The sequence below is a fragment of the Homo sapiens genome, chromosome 10 (assembly GCF_000001405.40).
Source record: "Homo sapiens chromosome 10, GRCh38.p14 Primary Assembly".
NCBI lineage: Eukaryota > Metazoa > Chordata > Mammalia > Primates > Hominidae > Homo > Homo sapiens.
The window spans coordinates 24,502,973-24,524,876 of NC_000010.11; the positions used below are offsets into that span (position 1 = coordinate 24,502,973).

The window sequence follows — 21,904 nt, forward strand, 5'->3', positions numbered from 1 at the left end:
AAGACTATGTCTCAAAAAAAACAAGATAAATGTATCCAGGATCCTGGAGCAGCCATGGGGATGCAACCTCCTGAGCCCTTTCCTCTAATAGGAAAAAGGCTTCCAATCGGTTCTGCTTCTTCAGCACAGCGACAGCACAAGCCCTAAGTTGTTTAACCACCTAATGAAAGCTAAGAAAACAATTTCCCCTTGCCCTCTGCCTACCAGAAAACACACAGAAAGGCAGCTGGTTTGAGAGACCTGCCCCAAGGCCCCAGCATGGATCATGACGGTTGCTAGAAGAGTGAGGGCTCTGATCTCCAAAGGCTACTCTGTCTCTTAGGCAACATCCCAGATACCTTGAACATCTGATGCAAATTCATTTAAATCTCCTAGTGAATCTCATCGTCTGTGATGGCCCCATCCTTTGCATTAGCTTCCTCTCGCTTTGCAATTTTAAAGACACATTGCAATGAAATGAAGTGTACGGGTTGGGCTGGGTTGTGTCAGGGGGTGACAAAGTCACATGTCTTCAGTGTCCGGGCAGTAACAGCAAGTGAAATGGAGGAGAGACCACAGTAAATTGGCCCCTTTAAAGGATAGTAGCCACTCAGTTCCAACTGGCTCTTAACCTGATAGAATAAGTATCCAGTGTTTCTAGATGTTTCAATATTTCAAGCAAATCTGGAGACACAGGTTTTATATGAATTACCGCCATTTAAAAATGTTGGAAAGTAATTGAAAACTAATTACTGAGTACTCTGCAGGCCAAAGGACACAATTGCAGTTCAGAGGGGGCCTATCGGCTCCCAAGTTCGTTCTTACCTGGGGCTCCTGGAGGTCAAGCCCTTCCCTTCACTGCTCCTGCCTTTTGGCACCATCTGCTGGCCATTTCGAAATTGTTACCTCCTCATTGCGCCCTTTAAGAAAAACATACATATCATTTGTATGGAAGTACCTAACTGCTCTCAAAAGTGAGCATTTGTTGGTTTGGGGACAGGGATGGAATTGCTTTAGCATAAATGCCGCACTTCCCCTGGGAATTTCACAGGCGTTAGAGGTGAATTTGATACCAAGGCTCTCTTGATGTCTGTAGCTACAGCGTCACCCCATCAGTGGCTGGCGTAGTTTGGTCCTCTGGCCGGCTGGGAGGGATCTCTCACACTTGTCTCGCCTTGCAACCCTTGAACTGTGCAGCTTTGTGAAAAAGAGCAGTTTTCTTAAACAAAGAAGGTCTTTGGTCAAGGTCTAGGAATGCTGTGTTAACCACACAAGTTTCTTTATTGCTCCAGAACTACTCAACTTTTCTGGCTTTCTGGGAATAAAGAACAGTGAGCAAATGTGCTTTTGAGCCTGGGAAGTTGGGCAGTTCTAAAGCGCAGACTCGCAGGGAAAAATAAGCATGGTGTTTCCTAACCTGGCTGTTACTGTTTCTACCTCTGCATTTGTATTCCCTGGGTCCCATTCAGCTTTCCTCCCCATCAAACTTCTGTCTTTTCAATCGAGGGAGTCTACTTAAGACAAAAACAGCTTAGAATAATTAAGCTATCTCGGCACCAATTCTCCTTCAACATGTGCGGTATTATATACCAAAAATGAACTGCAGCCGCACAGTGGCTCTAAGTCCAATAATGGAGCTATCATTAGAGATATACGAAACACTAGACTAGTCTCAAAAGAACAAAAATTGAATTAGAAATTCAAATATTCTTTGAACTGTGTTATAAAATAGTGAAACTGAATAAAACCATTTGTGCTTGGCAGCCAGCTCCAGTAATTAGATAATTAAATCATTGGAAAATCCTAGACTGTAGAGCATATCCTATTTGAGCATTTCATTTTCAAAACTGATGGATTATTCTCAGGAATAGAAATTTGTTGCAGACACAATGGGGTGGGTAGATTTCAATGGGACAAGGGGAACCTAAGCAGAAGATCAAGGAAACCACTAAAAGCTTGTTCATGTTATCTTCTGCTCTCCAATTTCACAGGAGTTATCGGTCTAAGAGTGGTTCTCAATCCTGGCTACTCATTAGAATTATTTGAAACCCTTAGCAAAAATACCAGTGCTCAGGCACGATGGCCAGAGTCTGACTTCACTGGCACGGACTGGAGGCTAGGCACTGGTGACTCTAGAACATTCCAGGGTAAAAACTACTGTTTTTACCTCTTGGCTACAGGTAATATGAATGCTTAGTCCATGAAGACACCTCCTGGAAATGTTGAGATAGCCAGCTATTACCAATGACTTAAAGCCTTGACTTCAAACAATGCACCTCATTCCCAGTGGCTAATCTAGTATGTTCTCTGCTAGCTACATTTGGTATGAGAGCTATATGGAACCTTTATAGTGTGATATTCCCATTCCCAAATAACGGTTGGGTCTGTAATTAGCTAGCAACAATGGGAAAGGGTTTTGTCAAGGTTTTGTGCCTAACAGATGTTCTCCTCCAATGATGATTATGTTTGCCTGTTACCTTTCCTGATATCATTTTGAAAAAAAGCCCACTTTTTCTAAATAATGAACATCTTTTTCCCAAAATGCCACAGTACTTGGATTTTACCAAAGTCATCCCATATCTACAGAAGTGACTGCACTTCTTCCCCTCCTTGTGGGTGGCTGAGGAGAGAGAGAGAAGCTTCTGGAAGAGATGGTACAGGTTCTGTGGAGGCCAGATAGGCTTGGCATAAAGAGAGGATGGCGACCTCCTACTTCTTTCATCCCCAATCTCTTTATTCTGCTTCCTGATAAATAAAAAATTGGGTTGTTCATTACATTTGTAGGACTCCTGAGAATTTACTGTCCCTTCCCAAGAGAAGGAGGAGGTAAAATATCAACATAAAAAATAAACACAGTAGTGCATAGAGCCCTATGTATTTGAAATGATACAATTCAATACAATTTCCTTAATGTGTCTTTTTATGAGATGGCGCCTCGTGGAAATGTGCCAGGGTCTCATTTATCTTCTGACATGCATAACAATGGTCACGGGAATGCGGATCCCTGAGAACAGCATATTGGAGTTTCCCATGTGCAACAGACCCGTGTCCCCTGCCAAGCAGAAATAATAAACGGAACTAGTACAGGGCTTGACGATTAGGCTGCTTACAATGTGCCAAGGTCTAGTCAGATCTTCAGACAACAAGAAGCTTTCTAAGATGGGGAGACAGCACCCCAATAACATGGGTTATATAGCTGTGACCAGGCATCCCTTGTCTTGTTCCCTGAAGCCTGCAGGAACAGATCCAGGTGGGATCAGGAGTCGTTCTGAGGTCTGGCTTTCCTCCTGAATCTTTCTGATTTGTGGTATAACCACTGTTCCATGTCACTGCTAGACAGCAAAATCAGTCCAATTACATTATCCATTGTTGGCAAGACTGATAGTCTTAGATTTTACCTAAGAAATCAAAATTGAGTATGTGAGATATAGGTCCATTTTCAGGTTGGGGGAATTAGGTTTAGGCATTTGCTAGTTTCTCCATGAAGTGATTTGGATAACTTATTTGGTCCAATTAAAATTTTAATGGACAAGAGCATTATTTCTGTCTCTTATTTTACAAGAGTGCTTATAAAAATGGCAAAGCATTTTCAATAAATTATCTTTCTAGCTATGAGGAATAACTGCAACTCTACTTGCCCTCCCACTGTGGGCAACTAGAAAACTGAAAAATAAGCAAATGTATGAAACAAATGTTTTCAGAAATTAAACAACACAGGACCGTAATCCTTAGGAGAATGGGGGGAAAAAACCTACAGTTGACCCAGCTTTCTGTCTGGAGGCACTTTTCAGATCTTGGTGCAGGAAGGAAAAACCCAAGCATGGCACTGACAGTGAGTTGAGGAGATAAGACCAAAGTTTAGAGAGAGCTGAAACAGCTAGAACTGGTGGACTGGAGAACCAAACACAAGAAAGCTCTGCAGAGAAAGAAGTACATCAATAAATGGGTCTGTTATTAAATATTAAGCCAAGCATGTACAGTGTGAAAGCAACCGCTAAGCCAGGCAGAAACTAAGTCGGGGGCTGTAAGCCAAAAAGTTCCCGAAGTTCACACAGGCCTGGGAGATGTTCACGTTTTGAAAAGCAAAAAGCGAAGAGGCCTTGTTGAGCACCTGGGCATTTTGTAGAGATCGGAGAAGGACTGTGCCTCAGTCTTAGGACTAAACTAGCCCCAGAGGAAAGACTACCCTTGATTTAACCTAACTGCTTAAAAATAAGCCTTTAAAGGACAAAGCTGATCCACAAGTAACTGGACTGTCTGCCAGAGAAAGTCCAAAATCTGTAAAGGAAAACAACAAAATTCAGAGCTCCATGCCCAATATCCACTCAAAAATTACTAGACATGTGATGATGCTGACAAATGTGACCTATAACATTAAGAAAAATTTGTCAAGAGAAACCAACCAGACATGGCAGGGATAATGAAATCAGCAGCAAGGACTTCAAAACAGCTATTATAATTATTCTCAAGGATTTAAAGGAAGACATGAACATAATGAGGAAAGAAATGGAAGATATAAAAAATATCCAAGTGGAGCTTTCAAGAGCTGAAAAACAATATCCAAATGTGCTTAACAGAAGATTAATCACTGCCCAAAATGTCAGTCACCCTAAAAACAGCAATGGAAACTGTTCAAACTGAAGTATAGAGAGACAAGAGACTAAAGAAAATGAATTAAAATGTAGTGACCAGTGAGACAATATTAATAAAAGATGAAGTGGAAAGAGAAAAATATTCAAAAAGGTAATGACTGAATTTTTTCCAAATTTGATGAAAGCTGTAAATCCACAGACCAAAAAAGCTCAGTGAACCCCTAGAATGGTAAGCACAATGGAAATTGCACCAAAGCACATGGTAGTCAAATTGCTAAAAACCAGAGATAAATGGAAAAATCTTCAAAGCAGCTGGGGGTGGAGAGAAAACCCATTACATACAGGAATCACAATTAAGAATTAATGCCAACTTCTCATCAGAAACAAAAGGCAAGTCAGGACACAGTGGAATGACGTCTTTAAAGTATTGAAAGGAAGAAAAGTCTTTCAGAAAACAGAGAATACTTCCTAACTCATTTTATGAAGCCTGCATTACCCTAAGAGCAAAACCAGACAAAAATATTATAAGGGAAGAAAACCACAAACCAATATCCCTCACGAAAATATATGTAACAAATCCTTAACAAAACGTTAGTAACTGAATCCAGCAATATATAAAAAGAATAATACATTATCCTGGGGTTTTATTCCAGGAATGCAAGATTGTTTTAATACGAAAAAAATCAACGTATTTGACCTTATTAACAGAAAAATCGTATTTCAATAAATGCAGAAAAAGCATGTAACAAAATTTAGCATCAATGATAAAAACAGCGCTCTAGAAGTAGAAGGAAGCTTCCTTACCTTGATAAACAATGTTTGTGAATGACCTACAGAAAACATAGTTAATGGTGAAACACTAAACACATTCCCCATAAAATCAGGAGCAAGGCCAAGAAACCTACTCTGACATCTGTTTAACACTGTACTGAAGATTGTAGCAAGTTCAGTATGGCTAGAGAAAGAAATAGAGTCACACAAATCGAAATGTAAAATGTCTAATTGGCTTTACTCACAAATGACATGATTATATATGTGTAACATTAAATGGAATCTACAAAACATGCTACTAGAAATAAGTGACTTGAGCAAGATCACAAGAATCAAGTCAATGTACACAAATATTAAAATTTTGTTATATCCATTTGTACAATGAAATGCCACTTAGCAATAAAAGAATGAATCACTGAAAAACTCAGCAACAGGGCTGGATCTCAGAAAAACATATTCTGAACAAAATAAGCTGGACACAAAGGAGCACATGTTATATAATTCCATTTTTATAACGTTCTAGAACACAAAGAACTCATCTATAATGACAGAAAGCAGAGTGGTGGTTTCTTTGGGCTGGGGCTTGGGGATTGATTGTAAAAGGTCTCAAAGGAATTTTTTAGGATGATAAAATATATAGCTGTCTTTCAGCAGTGGTTACATCAGTGTATACATTTGTCAAAATTCATCGAACGGTGCACTTAAGATGGATATGTTTTATTGTCTGTAAACTTTGTGCCTCAAGACAGTTGATTTTAACTATTGAAATGTAGGTATCACCTCTTAAGCAAAAACCAACTTAACAATTTGAGCTTCCAAAAAGTAATTTACTTGAAGCATTTAGAGAAAGATGGTGATCCACATCATATCTTTAGCACTTTTTTACACTGTGCTCAGATAAGCAGGAACTGTCCTGCAGCCTGGAGACAGTGGCAAGAACACCAGACAGGGAGGGCAGGGGGACTGGGAAAGCAGACAGAGAACCTATGTAGACCTTGTTCATTCATGATTCACTCCTCATTGCCCACGTGCCAGCCGGTGAGCTATGACAGCTTCCCTCTTTAGTACCCTCAGCAGGATCCTGTAAGGCCCCGCTTTCTAGACAGGAGGATAATAAAGCCTAGGATTGAAACAGAGCCTCTCCCTCTCCTCCTCTTCTAGTGGAGTAAGTCTAGTTGTGTTTAAACATTATGCCCCGTTGTATTTTCCAATATTTCTTATCCTTCTCAGAAACGTTATATTGCGATTCATTCATAGAGCAAATACAGTTGCCCCTTGAACAACATGGGGGTTGGGGTGCTGACCCCTCATGCAGTAAGAAATCCATAACTTTTGGCTCCCCCAAACTTAACTACTAATAGCCTACTGTTGAGTGGAAGCCTTACCAATAATATAAACAGTTGATTAACACATATTTTGTATGTTGTACATATTATATACTATATTTGTTTTTTTCACATGCCTGCTGTGTCAAATATATACTGTATTCTGACAATAAAGTAAGTTGAAGAAAAGAAAATGTTATTAAGAAAATCATAAGAAAGGGAAAATCATAATATTCATTAAGTGGAAGTGGATCATTATAAAGGTCTTCATCCTCATTGTCTTCTCATTGAATAGATTGAGGAAGAGAAGGGGTTGGTCTTGCTGTCTCAGGGGTGGCAGAAGAGGAAGGAAATCTACATATAAGTGGACCCATGCATGCAGTTCTAACCTGTGTTGTTCAAGTGTCAACTGTATATGTTGGGTACCTACCATGTGCCACACGCTGCTTGTAGCTGTGAACAAAATGGCATGCTCCCTGCCTTGATAGAAGAACAACTTGGGGTGGTGGGGAAATTGATGAGTTGAATTCAGAAGACCTGGTTCTAATCCTAACTGTGCTCTCTAATTGCCGAGCACACCCTGAGCATGTCCTTTGACTTCTCAGGGCCTCACTTTTCCCACCTTTCAATTTTATGAATTTTAAATATTCCACCAATAATTTCTAGCATGATATCCATTGTTAATATCCACTATCTAACCAGACCCCAGATTTACGTAAGCTTGTTTTAAAATTTGGGCAGGAGGGTTAGGTGCCCTGCTGTGCCCCATAGCTCATGGCACAGTGACATCATCTGTCTATTCAAAAGCCCTTTTCTTAGTCCATGAAATCATCCTTGGTGGCAAATCGAATCATATGAGGAGTTTTAGAAATTCCCAACAACCAGACGGTACCTCAGACCAGTAAAATGAGAATCTCTCAGTTGGGACCCAGGCATTGGTCACTCTTAGACCCATTTAATTATCTACTCATTTTCCCCTCACAACCCTGTCATCACTCATTCCCGCCCCCTTCAAAGGCAGGAGCTCTGTGGGATTGGACACAGGGACTGAAGTTGAGCAAATCATCTTGATAGCACGTGGCTTTGCTGTGTGTGGTTAATCAACCGATATGAACAGTGCTGACCTGTAGCCCTGCCACATCCCCGCAGTGAGAGCAAGACAAGGCACAGGAGAGCTGATCCCAACACATATCTAAGCCCATGGGTCACAGCAGGTTTCAACCATTTAGAGAAGAATTTTGGATTCTTCATTGTTGCCTGTTCTTATCAATGTTACTGATTCATTCAGTTCATTCATTCAACAGATGTATTTTCAGTTTTCTGCTAATATGCCAGACACAGTGTACCAGAGACTCTGTGGAGGGCAGAAATTAACCAGGTGGAGGGAAGAGCATTCTGGGAGATGGGAATAGCAGGTGCAAAGGCCTGGCAAATAGGAGTCTGGCGGAGGTTGCAGTGAGCTGCGATCACACCACTGCACTCCACCCTGGGCAACAGAGTGAGACTCTGTCTCAAAAAAAAAAAAAAAAAAAAAGGAGCCTGGCCCCTATGAAGAACTGAAATGATGTATGGCTTGAGCAGAGTGCCAGGTGCATGGAGGGAGGGAGATTAGCCACAAGGGAAGCGACCAGATTGCCCAGCGCCTGGAGAATGGGCTGCAGCCAGAGAGAGCATAGGAGGATGTTGTTCTCTGTACACTGTCTCTAAAAATGGTGCTTTTTGGCTGGGCACGGTGGCTCATGCCTGTAATCCCAGCACTTTGGAAGGCTGCGGCGGGCAGATCACTTGCGGTCAGGAGTTCGAGACCTGCCTGATGATCATGGAGAAACCCCATCTCTACTAAAAATTCAAAATTAGCCGGGTGTGGTGGTGTGGTGGGCACCTGTAATCCCAGCTACTTGGGAGGCTGAGGCAGAAGAATCGTTTGAACCCGGGAGGCAGAGGTTGCAGTGAACTGAGATCGTGCCATTGCACTCCAGCCTGGGCAACAAGAGTGAAACTCCATCTCAAAAAAAACAAACAAGCAAAAAAATGATGCCTTTTAGCAAAATAGTGACTGACTGGCTTTTAATACCACAATAAAAAGACATTAGCAAAAGTGGTGTGAGAGCATGATCATGAGTCCTGTAGAGAAAGTAACCAAAAGTGATACATTTCTATGTGGTTCCCTCCCAGACAAAATGCCAGGCTCCACCCACTAGTTCACCCTCCCTGTTAGCAATGGCTGGTACGTGTTCAGGTTTAGATTGGTGCCAGACACTTTATTTTATTGTCTCACCGAGTCTCCATGACCAACCTACGAGCTATGAGATATTACTACCCCTTTTTTGGATAGACACAGAGGTGAATAGCTTGCCCATGGACACACATCTACTAAGTGGTAAAACTGGAAATCGAACCCAGGCAGTCTTTCCCCAGAGGCCAGTTCATCACCATGCAGTGCTGATGTTGGGACCTAATGGTGGTTCTGCTTGTGGCCTGTGTTGAAATGTTTTATCTTTATTCAGAGAAAACAGAAGGCATGATGTGGCTTTAAGCAGGTGGTGACATGGTCAGATTGCATTTCCCCTCAATTTACATGGATAATGGACAGTTGACAAAGACATCATCACCCCCATGAGATGATAAACCAGTCCATGAAACCGGAAAACAGGAAACCATTGAAATTTGTTAAATGATATTTCAGTGGAACTTTGGGGATAATATACTAGGCATAATATCATTATTGTGATGGAGGCTGATTGAGTGAATTCACTCGATGGAGCTGCTGTTAGAAAATTGTCCTGCTCCAGGGACTCAAGTGCTCAACCAGACTCCTGCGAAGCCTGAATAAAGCTCCCACCTCCTATATTCTCTGGGATGAGAAACAAGAATGTTCTCGGAACTGTTTGGAAATTGTGAGTTCTGTATACAGGTAGCCTACCTCCAATCTAGAGAAATTCATAAATTGCCAAAAGCCCTGGACTCATCCAGAATCATTATCATTGCCAACATTAAAGTCCTATGTTTTAAGCATCTGTGATTTCATGGTACTTGGTACATGGAACCATGTGAACGAAAAGGACACAGATCCTCTTTGAACTGATACTGACGTATTTCATAGCCAAATCACCACGTGTTGAGTTCCCATTCTACACCATGCGGTATTTCATGTAACCCTCAAGAATGGCCAAGGAAAGTGGATTCCCCATCATTAGAGGTAAGGAAATGAAGACCAAGGGAGTCTAAATAATGGGCCCAAAGTCTCACAGTGGGCTAGAGAGAGAGTATGGGATTAGACCCAAAGTCTTCTTGGCTCCAAAGCAGGTGCCCTGTGCTGCTCCCTCTAAAGATACATCAGTGAGAGTTTACGCCTGTTGTCCATGATGCATTGACCAGAGTAGAAAAAGGATCCTTTGTCTTGCAGGCAGTCTGGTTGCCAGTTGGCTGCCAAAATTCAGATGTTGGTGGAAGAAGCCACATTATGTACAGTCTTTGCTCCCTTTCCTTTCTCATTGAAATAAGTAAAGATTCAGCCGCAGGGCTGTCTACCCAAAGTGCTCCGAAGACTTCAAGGCATTCACTCGCCTCCATTTCAGGCAGGCAGAGCCCACTGAGGTTGATTTTTTTGTGTTCACAGCTGCAGAACCAGGAGTTGCTGAGGGCAATGATGAAGAAGGCCGAGCTGGAAATCAGTGGCAAAGTGATGGAAACAATGAAGAGACTGGAGGATCCCGTGCAGCGACAGCGCGTCCTAGTGGAGCAAGAGAGACAAAAATATCTTCATGAGGAAGAGAAGATCGTCAAGAAGTTGTGGTGAGTGCCAGTCACTTGCATGTTGAGCTGTTTCACCTGCAAAGGAAAATTATCATTACTAAGAAGGAGGTCCTTCCCAGTTGGTGGTCTTGCCCTCTCTTTATTGAGCACCTACTGTGTAAAAGTTAGAGTTCTGCTGATGCTGGTATATGTGGACACTTCAGCACCTGTCCATGGAGGCCCAGGAAATTCAGTGGCCCTCAGGTGACTGAATTTCTTTAAAAGTTGCGGCATTGCTGGGCATGGTAGTTCACACCTGTAGTCCCAGTTACTCATGAGGCTGAGGCGGGAGGATTGCTTGAGTCCAGGAGTTCGAGACCAGCCTGGGTAACACAGGGAGATCCTGTCTCTTAAAAAAAAAAAAAAAACAGAGAGAGTTGCAGCTTCATACTCTCCTCCAGGGCTCAGCAACACACAAAATTAAAAGGAGTAAATGGCAAAACCCAATGGCAAATAGGAAGCCTATATTTCATCTCAATAAATTAAAACTAATGGCCAAAATAACACAGCTCTAAAATTATCTTCCTATTATTCAACTGTAGTTAAAATTGCAAAAGAAGAATTTAAATGTAAAATGTATCTGATCCAGAATGAAAAATGCTTCCTTAGCTGTTATGAATGTTATTTAAGGTTCTTATTGAAAGCATCTATCAAGTCCTACTATTGAAATGAGCAGAATTTTATTACTCCCCCGTCACCAGGCAGGCACATCTTTTATGGTAATTGTATGTTTTGGTATGCAATGAAGATTTATCATAGAACTATCTCACCTTTTAGTATAATGAATAGTAATTTTGAGGGGTTTCTCCAGTGTTGATAATTCTCTTGTTTCTTGGAAAACTTAAATCTTTCAAATGGGGATTGTAAGGGAGCAGTTTGCAAACTCTTCTCATGGCCATAATGAGAAAAGATTTCCATGATGGAAAGCATTGTGCTCAGTCACCTATCTCCTATTGGAGCTGTGGCTCGTGTCGCCCTGGATGCCAACCTAATGTGTTTGATTAAAATTAGAGTGTCCCTCTCAGCAGTCTAGAGGGAAAAAAACATCAATTTGAGTTATTCTTTTCCTAATAAATTAAATTAGGCTGCTGTTCATCCATATCTCAAAATAGCTTCCAAAATTCTACTTAGTTCACACATTTATAGACAGAGTTAATCACCCACCATGAGTTGGTAAGGCTGTTATTTGTCTGAAATGTCTTTGTGACAGCCCAATTATCTAAAACTAGGTCTCCAGTTTCTTCTTTAAAACTTCTTTTAAAATGCATATCCTGGCTGGGCACGGAGGCTCATACCTGTAATCCCAGCACTTTGGGAGGCCGAGGCAGCCAGATCACCTGAGGTCAGGAGTTCGAGACCAGCCTGGCCAACATGGCAAAACCCCGTCTCTACTAAAAATACAAAAAAAATAGCTGGCCATTGTGGTGTGTGCCTGTAGTCCCAGCTACTCAGGAGGCTGAGGCAAGAGAATTGCTTGAACCCGGGAGGGGAAGGTTGTGGTGAGCCGAGATTGCACCACTGCACTCCAGCCTGGGCAACAGAGCACAACTCCGTCTCAAAAAATAATAGTAAAAATAAAAATAAAAATATATATCCTTTTAAAAACATTTATATAAATTTTCCAATAAAATTATGAAAAAAAATTTTTTTGAGTTGGAGTCTTGCTCTGTTGCCCAGGCTGGAGTGCAGTGGCATGATCTCGGCTCACTGCAACCTCCAACTCCTGGGTTCAAGCCTATTCTCCTATGTCAGCCTCCCGAGTAGCTGGGATTACAGGTGCACACCATGATGCCCAGCTAATTTTTGTATTTTTAGTAAAGACGGCGTTTCACCATATTGGTCAGGCTGGTCTCAAACTCCTGACCTCAGGTGATCCACCTGCCTCAGCCTCCCAAAGTGTTGGGATTACAGGCATGAGCCACCACGCCCGGCCAGTAAATTTCTTCTTTTTAAAAATTGTGTTTATTGGTTAGCTGAGATAATTCTCACTTCTGGCCTAGAAAAGCCATCTTTAATCTCAATAATACTCTGAGATTACAGCCTAGCATAGGAATGAGACAGAAAAGGTAGTGGAACGAACATATCATAAGAGGGCTTTATCTGGTTGGATTTGTGGGAAGGCCACAGATGAGTAAAAGAGGCAAAGAGCCCTTGAGGATCTTCAGTCTAGCAAAGGCAACCTGATAAATAGGAGTATAGCCCCGAACAGGGGATTTACAGGTACCAGTTGTACCCACACAAAAGAGAGACTAACCCAGGGATCAGGAAGACTTAACCTGAATGAAGTCATTCTTTGTATGACCCACAGGCCACAAACAGTATCTTGCACATAGTAGTTTCAGAAATGGTTTGTTAGGCTGGGCACAATGGTTCATGCCTATAGTCCCAGCAGTTTGGGAGGCTGAGGTGGGAGAATCACTTGGGACCAGGAATTCAAGAACAGGCTGGGCAATATAGCAGGACCCTGTCTCTACTAAAAATAAAAAATTAGCCAGCTGTGGTGGCATGCCTCTGTAGTCTCAGCTACTCAGGAGGCTGAAGCAGGAGGATCGTTTGAGCCCAGGAGTTCAAAGCTGCAGTGAGCTATGACTGCACCTCTGCATTCCAGCATGGATATCAGAGCAAGACTCAATCTCTAAAACAAGAAAGAAGAAAGAAAGAAATGGTTTGTTAAACTCAACTGAGGTGGCCTTGAAGATGGGGAGATTGCATCAGCAGAGGCTAGAGATGGAAGGACTTCCAGGCAGTAGAACCCTGCAAACCAACAAGTTTCTGGCCTGGAAAATGCAAGATGTCTTTAGAGAACTGGGGAGCAGTCCAGTTAGGCAGCAGAGTTGGGTGCAAGATACTAATAACATCCCATATTTGGGGAGTGTCATTCCCATTTGCACACTGACTTCCTGTATCTTAGACCATACTCAGGCCTCACATACCTGCTTGATGCCTGTCTGGGCTGTGCCTACAGAGATTGGAAGATTCTGTAAGAGAAACCTGGATTTCTGGCTTTTCTTGAAAGTTCCGGGGTTCAACCCCAGATTCACAATTTCTGTGGATGGGGCTTAGGAATCTGCAGTTTACAAACAAAGCCGGTGATTCTGAAGCACTTTCACATTTGAGAGTTACTGCCTAGAATGATGAGGAAGACACTGAGTGTTTGGGTTTGTTTGGTTTTTGTTTTTGATCAAGGAAGTAGCAAAGCTAGAGCTGTATTGGAGAGAGGTCCCTCTGGTGATCATGTGCCGGACTGATTAAGAGGAAAATAGATCAGTGACTAGGAGACCATATGGGAAGCTACTGTATCCGTCAGGCAAAAGGCAGTGAGGCCTGAACCACATAGTAGAAGTAAGAAAGAAGTCAAATGCAAAACGTCCTATGGTATTCACCGTCTAAGACTAGCTCTCAAAATTCTTCTTTAAAACACCTTTTGAAATATATATCCTTTTGGCTGGGTGCAGTGGCTCATGCCTGTAACCCCAGCACTTTGGGAGGCTGAGGTGGGAAGATCGCTTGAGCCCAGGAATTCAAGACCAGCCTGGGCAACGCAGGAACACAGGGACACCCAATGTCTACAAAATAAAAATTAAAATTAAAAATAAACCCTAGCCGATCATGGTGGCACACACCTGTGGTCCCAGCTACTCAGGAAGCTGAGGTAGGAGCATGGCTTGAGCCTGGCGGGTCAAGGCTGCACGATCACACCACTGCACCCCAGCCTGGGTAACAGAGCAAAACCCTGTTAAAAAAAAAAAAAAAACTAAAAATATCTATATACATATATATCCTTTTAATAATGGTAGTGTAAATTTTCCTTCCATAAGGTATAAAGTAGGTTAACTGATTGGATGGCTAGATCTGAATGGCAAGACAGCAGGTTATAAAAGACAGCTGGAAATAGCTAGAAGAGAAGAACTAGAATGTTTCTAGCATGAAGAAAAGACAAATATTTAAGGTGACGGATATCCCAAGTACACTGATTTGATCTGTACAAATTATATGTACTAAATTATCACATGTACCCCAAAACTCACATCTATTATGCGTCGATTTTTAAAAAGAGCTTATTTTTTAAAAGCCAGAAATTTCAACTCTGGAATATCAGAACAGTGATATCCCTCTTTCCTTCCCCTCTCCCTCCTCGTTCTCCTTTTTGTTCTTCTCCTTCTTCTTCTTCCAAGTACTAGAATATAAGTCTCCTTGTGGAGCATGTTAGGTTGAATTACTGGTGAGCCATTCAGAAGGCAGAGAGAAGAAACTTGGGCCTAAAACTGTGAAGAGATGGGCTGGGCACAGTGATTCACACCTATAATCCCAGCACTTTGGGAGGCCAAGGTGGGTAGATCACTTGAGGTCAGGAGTTAGAGACCAGTCTGGCCAACATGGCGAATCCCTATCTCTACTGAAAATACAAAAATTAGCTGGGCATGGTGGCGGGCACCTGTAATCCCAGCTACTCAGCAGGCTGAGGCAAGAGAATCACTTGAACCCGGGAGACGGAGGTTGCAGTAAGCTAAGATCAGGCCACTGCACTCCAGCCTGGGTGACAGAGAGAGACTGTCTAAAAATAAAAAAATAAAACTATGAAAAGAAATTGGGTCTAGATAATTTCTACATGAAAATAATAATTGGTCTTCTAATAACAGTCAAGTGAAATACATTCCAACAAACTGCATGCTTCTTTTTAACAAAGCTAGGATGAAAAGCCACTTAAACAAATAGAATGCTGTAAACTGTGACGTCTATGAATATCTGACATTCTGTGGAGCAAAGCTGATATTTTAAAAGTCATATTGATTACCATGTCAAAAATTTATTTCCAGCATTCATTTTAGCCCCATGTCTCTGTTACATTTTTGAATGAACAAATTTGATTTTTAATGTTTTATCTAAAGTAGGTATCATAAACGTTTGCATAGAAGTGATATTGTTGTGTACAATTGTATCAATATACATTTCTGTATATTCCATAAAGCTGTGAAGTTTAAGCGTCTCCGTATGCAAGGTTGTGAAATCCAAGAGGCATATTGTATAGAAGAGATCAAAACAGAATTCTAGGCAGACTGACTTTGAGTCAGATGACAGCTCCTTGAAGTATTAATTACGCACTGACAGACATGTTGGTTGTTCACGGAACCAGGAAAATATTTGGTCCTTAGCTCTTCCAGCAAAGCTTTGCAGGACTGGACCCTGTGTCCAGTCAATACAGGGAAGTCATTCTGTTTGGTTGTGCAATAGAAAAGAACTTTTCCACACGAAGTTACCATATTTATTTAGAGCCCTTCAGTGAGGTGGCACAATCTCTTCGTGTCAAGAATCCAATAGCTGTAGGAAGTTTCCCGTGGGTGTGTTCACAGAACACTGGGCCCCTTTCCATAGTTCACAGACGTGGACAATGAGCAGATGAGGCTTTCTCCCTCTGGTCCTGAAGTAGCATCATTTCATCTGAAATGGCCACAAGCAATTTTGGTTTATTTTTCATAACAGAATCAAAGACATCACCAAAAACTCCATCCCACTTCTTGCAGGGGAGGAATTTGTTATTTTCCCTTGGATCCTGTTGAACACATGTGGCATCCTGCCTGAACCCCTCCCGCAGCTGCCATGCGATCCAGAGCTCCATCCACTTGCCCACCTAAGTGGAAAGGGCCTTCGAGGGCCATCAGTTTGCAGACGACACTGTGCATTCCTTTTTCTCTTTCGGACGCTGGCTCCACAATCCGGGCTCCAGGAGGTGGAATCGCTGTTCACTTACTGCCCCCTAGTGGTCCGCATTTCTGAAAGTTCTTTATCCCTGTTTCCTTTGAGATTTTTCTCCGTAGATTTATAGGTGTTTAGGATGGGGTTAGTAATGTGGCCAAGGAGGTGGTTGTTTTCTCAAGGGTGAGACCTCGTCTCCGATCTCCGTCTCTTGGAGCTAGCATTCCCCTCTATCCACAGACACCACGTCTGTCGTCATTTTTATTTTCTGCAATCATTTCTTCTCTTGGTAGCTTGGAGAAGAGTTCATCCTTGTTGATGAGACAATCAGTATAAACCAGAGGTTCTCATTTAGGGGCAATTTTGCTCCCCCTTCCCCAGGGACATTGGACAATGTCTGGGTCTGGAGACATTCTGGTTTGTCACAAGCTGGGGTAGGCAAGGTTTCTACTGGCATCCAGTAGATGAAGGCCAGGGGCGCTGCTAAACATCGTACCGTGCAGTTTCCCCACACCACAGCGAAGAATTACACAGCCCAAAATGTCAAATGCTGAAGTTGAAAAGCCTGATATTAACCACTGTGGGCTTCTTGTTTTACTGCACCGCAGGTCGGTCTCCCTCTCTCTCTCTTTCTCTCTTTCTCCCTCTCTCTCCTACCCCACCCTCCCACCTATCCCTCCTTCTGTCCCTCTGTTGGCATCAGCACCACTGAATAAAAAGACTCGGTCCTCTGTTAGCCAGGCACAATCGTCCCTTTGGCCAATGTAGAACATTCCCTGGAAAACCCTCCTTGTACCTGCCTCACACCACTGCAAAATGTTCCCAGCCACTGTTAAAAGATGAGCGACCCCCCTCCACCACCACCACACGAAAGGCAGGGGGGAGGAGCTGGGGCTCTACACAAAATCAGAGGCTGAGACGGGCACTCGGCCCCTCCTCTTCCTCTGTGAGGCCTCGTGTTCAGCTCTATGTGCTGGTGTCCTTGCTCCCGCAGCGAGTTGGAAGACTTTGTTGAAGACTTGAAGAAGGACTCCACGGCAGCCAGCCGATTGGTTACTCTGAAAGACGTGGAAGACGGGGCTTTCCTCCTGCGTCAAGTGGGAGAGGCTGTAGCTACCCTGAAAGGTAAACTTTCTGCTGGGTCGGGGGAGGAGTCTGAGCTGTCTTTCCTGCGGTGTTTAAAAATCTGCCACATAGAGGATTCATTCATGTATGCAAGTATTTATTAAACGTCTACATGTGCCAGGCATTGTTCTGGACACTTGGGATACCCCACAGCACAAAGTAGGTGCACATCCCCCTCTTCTTGGAGCTGGTATTAGAGTGGGTGCTGTAAGATTTCACACTAAATGATTCCAGTAACACTTTCTATTTGCTAGGCTCTTACAGTGCACCGGGATGCATGTGCCAAACCCGTTAAAAACACAAGGTGGGAGGATCACTTGATCCCAGGAGTTCAAGACCAGCCTGGGCAATATAGAGAGACTCACATCTCTACCAAAAAAAAAAAAAAAAAAAAAAAAATATATATATATATATATATATATACACACACACACAAAAAAAAATTAGCCAGGTGTGGTGGTGCATGCCTGTGGTACCAGCTACTTAGGAGGCTGAGGTGGTAGGATCTCTTGAGCCTGTGAGGTCAAGGCTATGGTGAGCCACCATTGCACCACTGCACTCCAGCCTGGCAGCCTGGGTGGCAGAGTGAGACCCTGTCTCCAAAAAATAAAAATAAAAAACAAAAAATAAAAAATTAAATTAAATTAAAAACCTGTAACCAGGCACGGTGGCTCACGCCTGCAATCCTAGCACTTTGGGAGGCCAAGGCAGGAAAATCGCCTGAGGCCAGGAGTTCAAGACCAGCCTAGGAAACATAACAAAACCCCATCTCTAAAAAAAAAAAAAAAGTTTTTTTTTTTTTTTTTTTCTGGCCAGGCGTAGTGGCTCATGCCACTTTGGGAGGCTGAGGCGGGCAGATCACTTGAGGTCAGGAGTTCGAAACCAGCCTAGCCAACAGAGTAAAACCCTGTCTGTACTAAAAATACAAAAATTAGCTGGGCATGGTGGCACAAACCTGTAGTCCCAGCTACTCAGCTGAGGCAGGAGAATTACTTGAACCCAGGAGGCGGAGGTTACAGTAAGCCAAGATCATGCCACTGCACTCCAGCCTGGGTGACAGAGGGAGACTCCATCTCAAAAAAAGAAAAAAAAAGTTGAATTAGCTGGGCATGGTGGTGTGCAGCACCTAAATAGTCCCAGCTATCCAGGAAGCTGAGGCAGGAGGATCGCTTGAGCCCAGGTGTTTGAGGCTCCAGTGAGCTCTGATCATGCCACTGCACTCCAGCCTGGATGACAGAGTGAGACCCTGTCAGCCAGTCAAATTAAAAAGTAATAATAATAACCCTAATGGTCAATTGGCTTTATCCCAAATACACAGACAGGAAACAGGCCTAGAGGAGCTTTACCCTTGCCCAAGGTGAGTTTCTCCAATGCTCCTCTGTGCTCTTAACCCACTGCCACCTGAAGATGTGTGAGCCACCCTGTGGCTTGTGAACTCTGCACTTCTCTGTCCAGTATCGGAGTGCGGGATGAGGGTTGTCGTTCTGGCTTTTTCTCCTCCAATTCACCTGCTGGTTTGGGCCTGCAGGAGAATTTCCAACCTTACAAAACAAGATGCGAGCCATCCTGCGCATAGAAGTGGAGGCCGTGCGGTTTCTGAAGGAGGAGCCACACAAGCTGGACAGTCTCCTGAAGCGTGTGCGCAGCATGACAGACGTCCTGACCATGCTGCGGAGGTGACCGGGCCCTCATCGTGCTGGGGGTGGCCTGCGGAGGGGTGCACTGGGAAACCGAGAGTGGACGTTTGGGACTTCAGCCTTCCACCATGCTCCCAGGACACATCCAGTGTCCTGAGGAAAAGCCCCAAGTCCTTCTCACCCTTGAACTTTTATTGCAATATGGCTTGAGGTTCTAATTCTTCAACACAGGATTGCTAGGTGGAGCCCATCCTAGGGTTTAAAATTAATAGACACAGTAAACATTGTTTTAAAATCATCTGAAAGGCCAGGTGTGGTGGCCACTCAGGAGGTACAGGCAGAAGGATCCCTTGAGCCCAGGAGTATGAGGCTGCAGTGAGCTATGACTGAGCCACTGCACTCCAGCCTGGGCAACAGAGAAAGACTCCATTTCTTTTAAAAAAATCATCGGAAGGTGGGTTTTTTAAAATAACATTTTGAAGTTGAAAAATTGATTGAAATAGTTTATTAGCCTCCTTCACTTCAGGGGCATAGATGAATTCAGTTCAAAGAAATGTAATAGAAGTAAACAAAGTCTTTCTTAAATGACCTCCTGAAGGAGTATCTGTGAGACTGTTGGTCCCACCTAGAAAAGAGGAACAAAGCATTTTGAGTGGCCTGGGCCAGGCTTCCTTACCAAAGGTAAACCTGCTCACCGAAGAGGTCACAGTGGAGTAAAGACCAAAAGACATTCAGGAATTTCACTGCAAAGAAAATTCCAGGACTCCACACTCACTGAAAACACATATGCATGCAAAATTTGTGTTGCCAGAAGTACCTTCACTGGCCAGGCACAGTGGCTCACACCTGTCATCCCCGCACTTTGGGAGCTGAGGTGGGTGGATCACTTGAGGTCAGGAGTTGGAGACTAGCCTGGCCAACATAGTGAATTCCCATAGGTATTACAGGCGGTGGCGTGCCTGTAATCCCAGCTACTTGGGAGGCTGAGGGAGGAGAATTACTTGAACCCAGGAGGTGGAGGCTACAGTGAGCCGAGGTTGTGCCACTGCACTCCAGCCTGGGAGACAGAGCATGAAGTCAGCTTCATGGAGATGATTATTGAAAATGGGAAAGATCACTGGGTGCAGTGGCACGTGCTCGTAATCCCAGCTACTCAGGAGGCTGAGATGGGAGGATCACTTAGGCCAGGAGTTCAAGGCTGCAGTGAGCTATGATCACACCACTGCACTCCAGCCTGGGTGACAGAGCAAGACCCCATCTCTACAAAAAATTATTTTAAAAATTAGCCAGGAAGGGTGGTATACACCTGTAGTCCCAGCTACTTAGGAGGCTGAGGCAGGAAGATCTCTTGAACGTAAGAGTTTGAGGCTGCAGTGGGCTAGGATTGAGCCACTGCACTCCAGCCTGGGCAACAGAGCGAGGCCCTGTTTCTTAAAAGAAAAGAAAATGGAAGAGATGGTTGAGGCAGAATGATAGGGAAAGGAGAGAACAAATCCTTGGGGATCTCTAAGAATCTAAGGGATTGGGGTAAAAAAAGAAACAGCAAAAGAAAGAGCACTGAGTAGCAGAAGAGTTATAGAATGCAATGTCTTTTTTCAAATAAAAAAAAGTAACATAATAAAAAGGGGATGAGGGACTAACTAAAAATTAGAGGTCAAGTACCATGTTTGACATTGCCTCACACATAACTTTACAATGTTAATGTTAGTCCTAACGACAGGTCCTGAGGAAGTCATTATCATCACCATCGTCATCCCCATCTTCATCACTCCATTTTATGCAAAAGCACCTGAGGCTTAAAGAGGCGAAGTTCTCAACGTTATATAAAGCATGAACTAACTGCTATTCAAACACAGATCTGACACCAGACACTCTGTCTTTTCCACTACATCATGGGTGGGGAGGGACATATAGCTTCAAATGACTCCAAACACCAGAGGAAGTTGAGGAATAAACACGACCGTTAGATTTCGAGTCACTGTGTACCTTGTGGCAAGACTTCGTTGAATCCAGGTGGGGAAGCCAGTGAGCAACAGGTTGAGATACAGAAGAGCAAACAGAAGGAATTAGAATGTGGGCGGCCCACCCAAGATGCTTGGCAGTGAAAGGAGGAGGGAATAAGCAAACTTTTGGCTTAGAACTAAGCATATTTGAGGGCTGCATAGGCCAGAATCAGGCGGAGGAGTTAGAGAGGCTGCTGTTAGACTCATGATTCATTTTCTTCTACCCACCCCCCAAACAATGATGGAGTTGCAAGGGTCTGAGCACAACTGCACCAGCAGAAAGGGATATGTCTATACATGTCCCTAAGCGGCTACTCTGAGCTTTGGGATGTGTGACTCTCACCTGGCTTTGGGATGACATAGCCTGCAAGTATACCACCATGAGAAAGTGACATGAGGGTTAATGCCGCTGTGCATGGTTTCTCCTAGACATGTCACTGATGGGCTCCTGAAAGGCACGGACGCAGCCCAAGCCGCACAGTACATGGCTATGGAAAAGGCCACAGCCGCAGAAGTCCTGAAGAGTCAGGAGGAGGCAGCCCACACCTCCGGCCAGCCCTTCCACAGCACAGGTGCCCCTGGCGATGCGAAGTCGGAAGTGGTGCCTTTGTCCGGCATGATGGTTCGCCACGCGCAGAGCTCCCCTGTGGTCATCCAGCCCTCCCAGCACTCCGTGGCCCTGCTGAACCCTGCTCAGAACTTGCCTCACGTGGCCAGCTCCCCAGCCGTCCCCCAGGAAGCAACCTCCACTCTGCAGATGTCGCAGGCTCCGCAGTCCCCACAGATACCCATGAATGGGTCTGCCATGCAGAGCTTGTTCATTGAAGAAATCCACAGTGTGAGTGCCAAGAACAGGGCAGTGTCTATCGAGGTAGAGTCCTATTTCTGTTTCTCATAACCCCATAAAGGAGTCTGATACATGGACCTTTCCCTTAAAGCATTTATAGGTCAGATGATGACATGATTGTGTATGGATCAGAGAC

The 21,904-nt window shown here is 43.7% G+C and overlaps 1 protein-coding gene across 54 annotated transcripts in view; it reads left to right on the top strand.

Moving 5' to 3' along the window:
• KIAA1217 overlaps positions 1-21,904 on the top strand; it is an 853,117-nt gene that overhangs the window by 808,246 nt on the left and 22,967 nt on the right. For 50 of the 54 annotated variants that reach the window (NM_001098500.3, NM_019590.5, XM_047425513.1 and 47 more), the window contains 4 exons: positions 10,287-10,462; positions 17,151-17,281; positions 18,810-18,957; positions 21,351-21,792. In NM_001098500.3, the coding sequence (NP_001091970.1) occupies positions 10,287-10,462; positions 17,151-17,281; positions 18,810-18,957; positions 21,351-21,792 (897 nt within the window). The remainder of the gene's footprint in view (positions 1-10,286; positions 10,463-17,150; positions 17,282-18,809; positions 18,958-21,350; positions 21,793-21,904) is intronic. The other 4 variants (XM_047425495.1, XM_047425498.1, XM_047425517.1 and 1 more) reach the window with 1 other exon arrangement.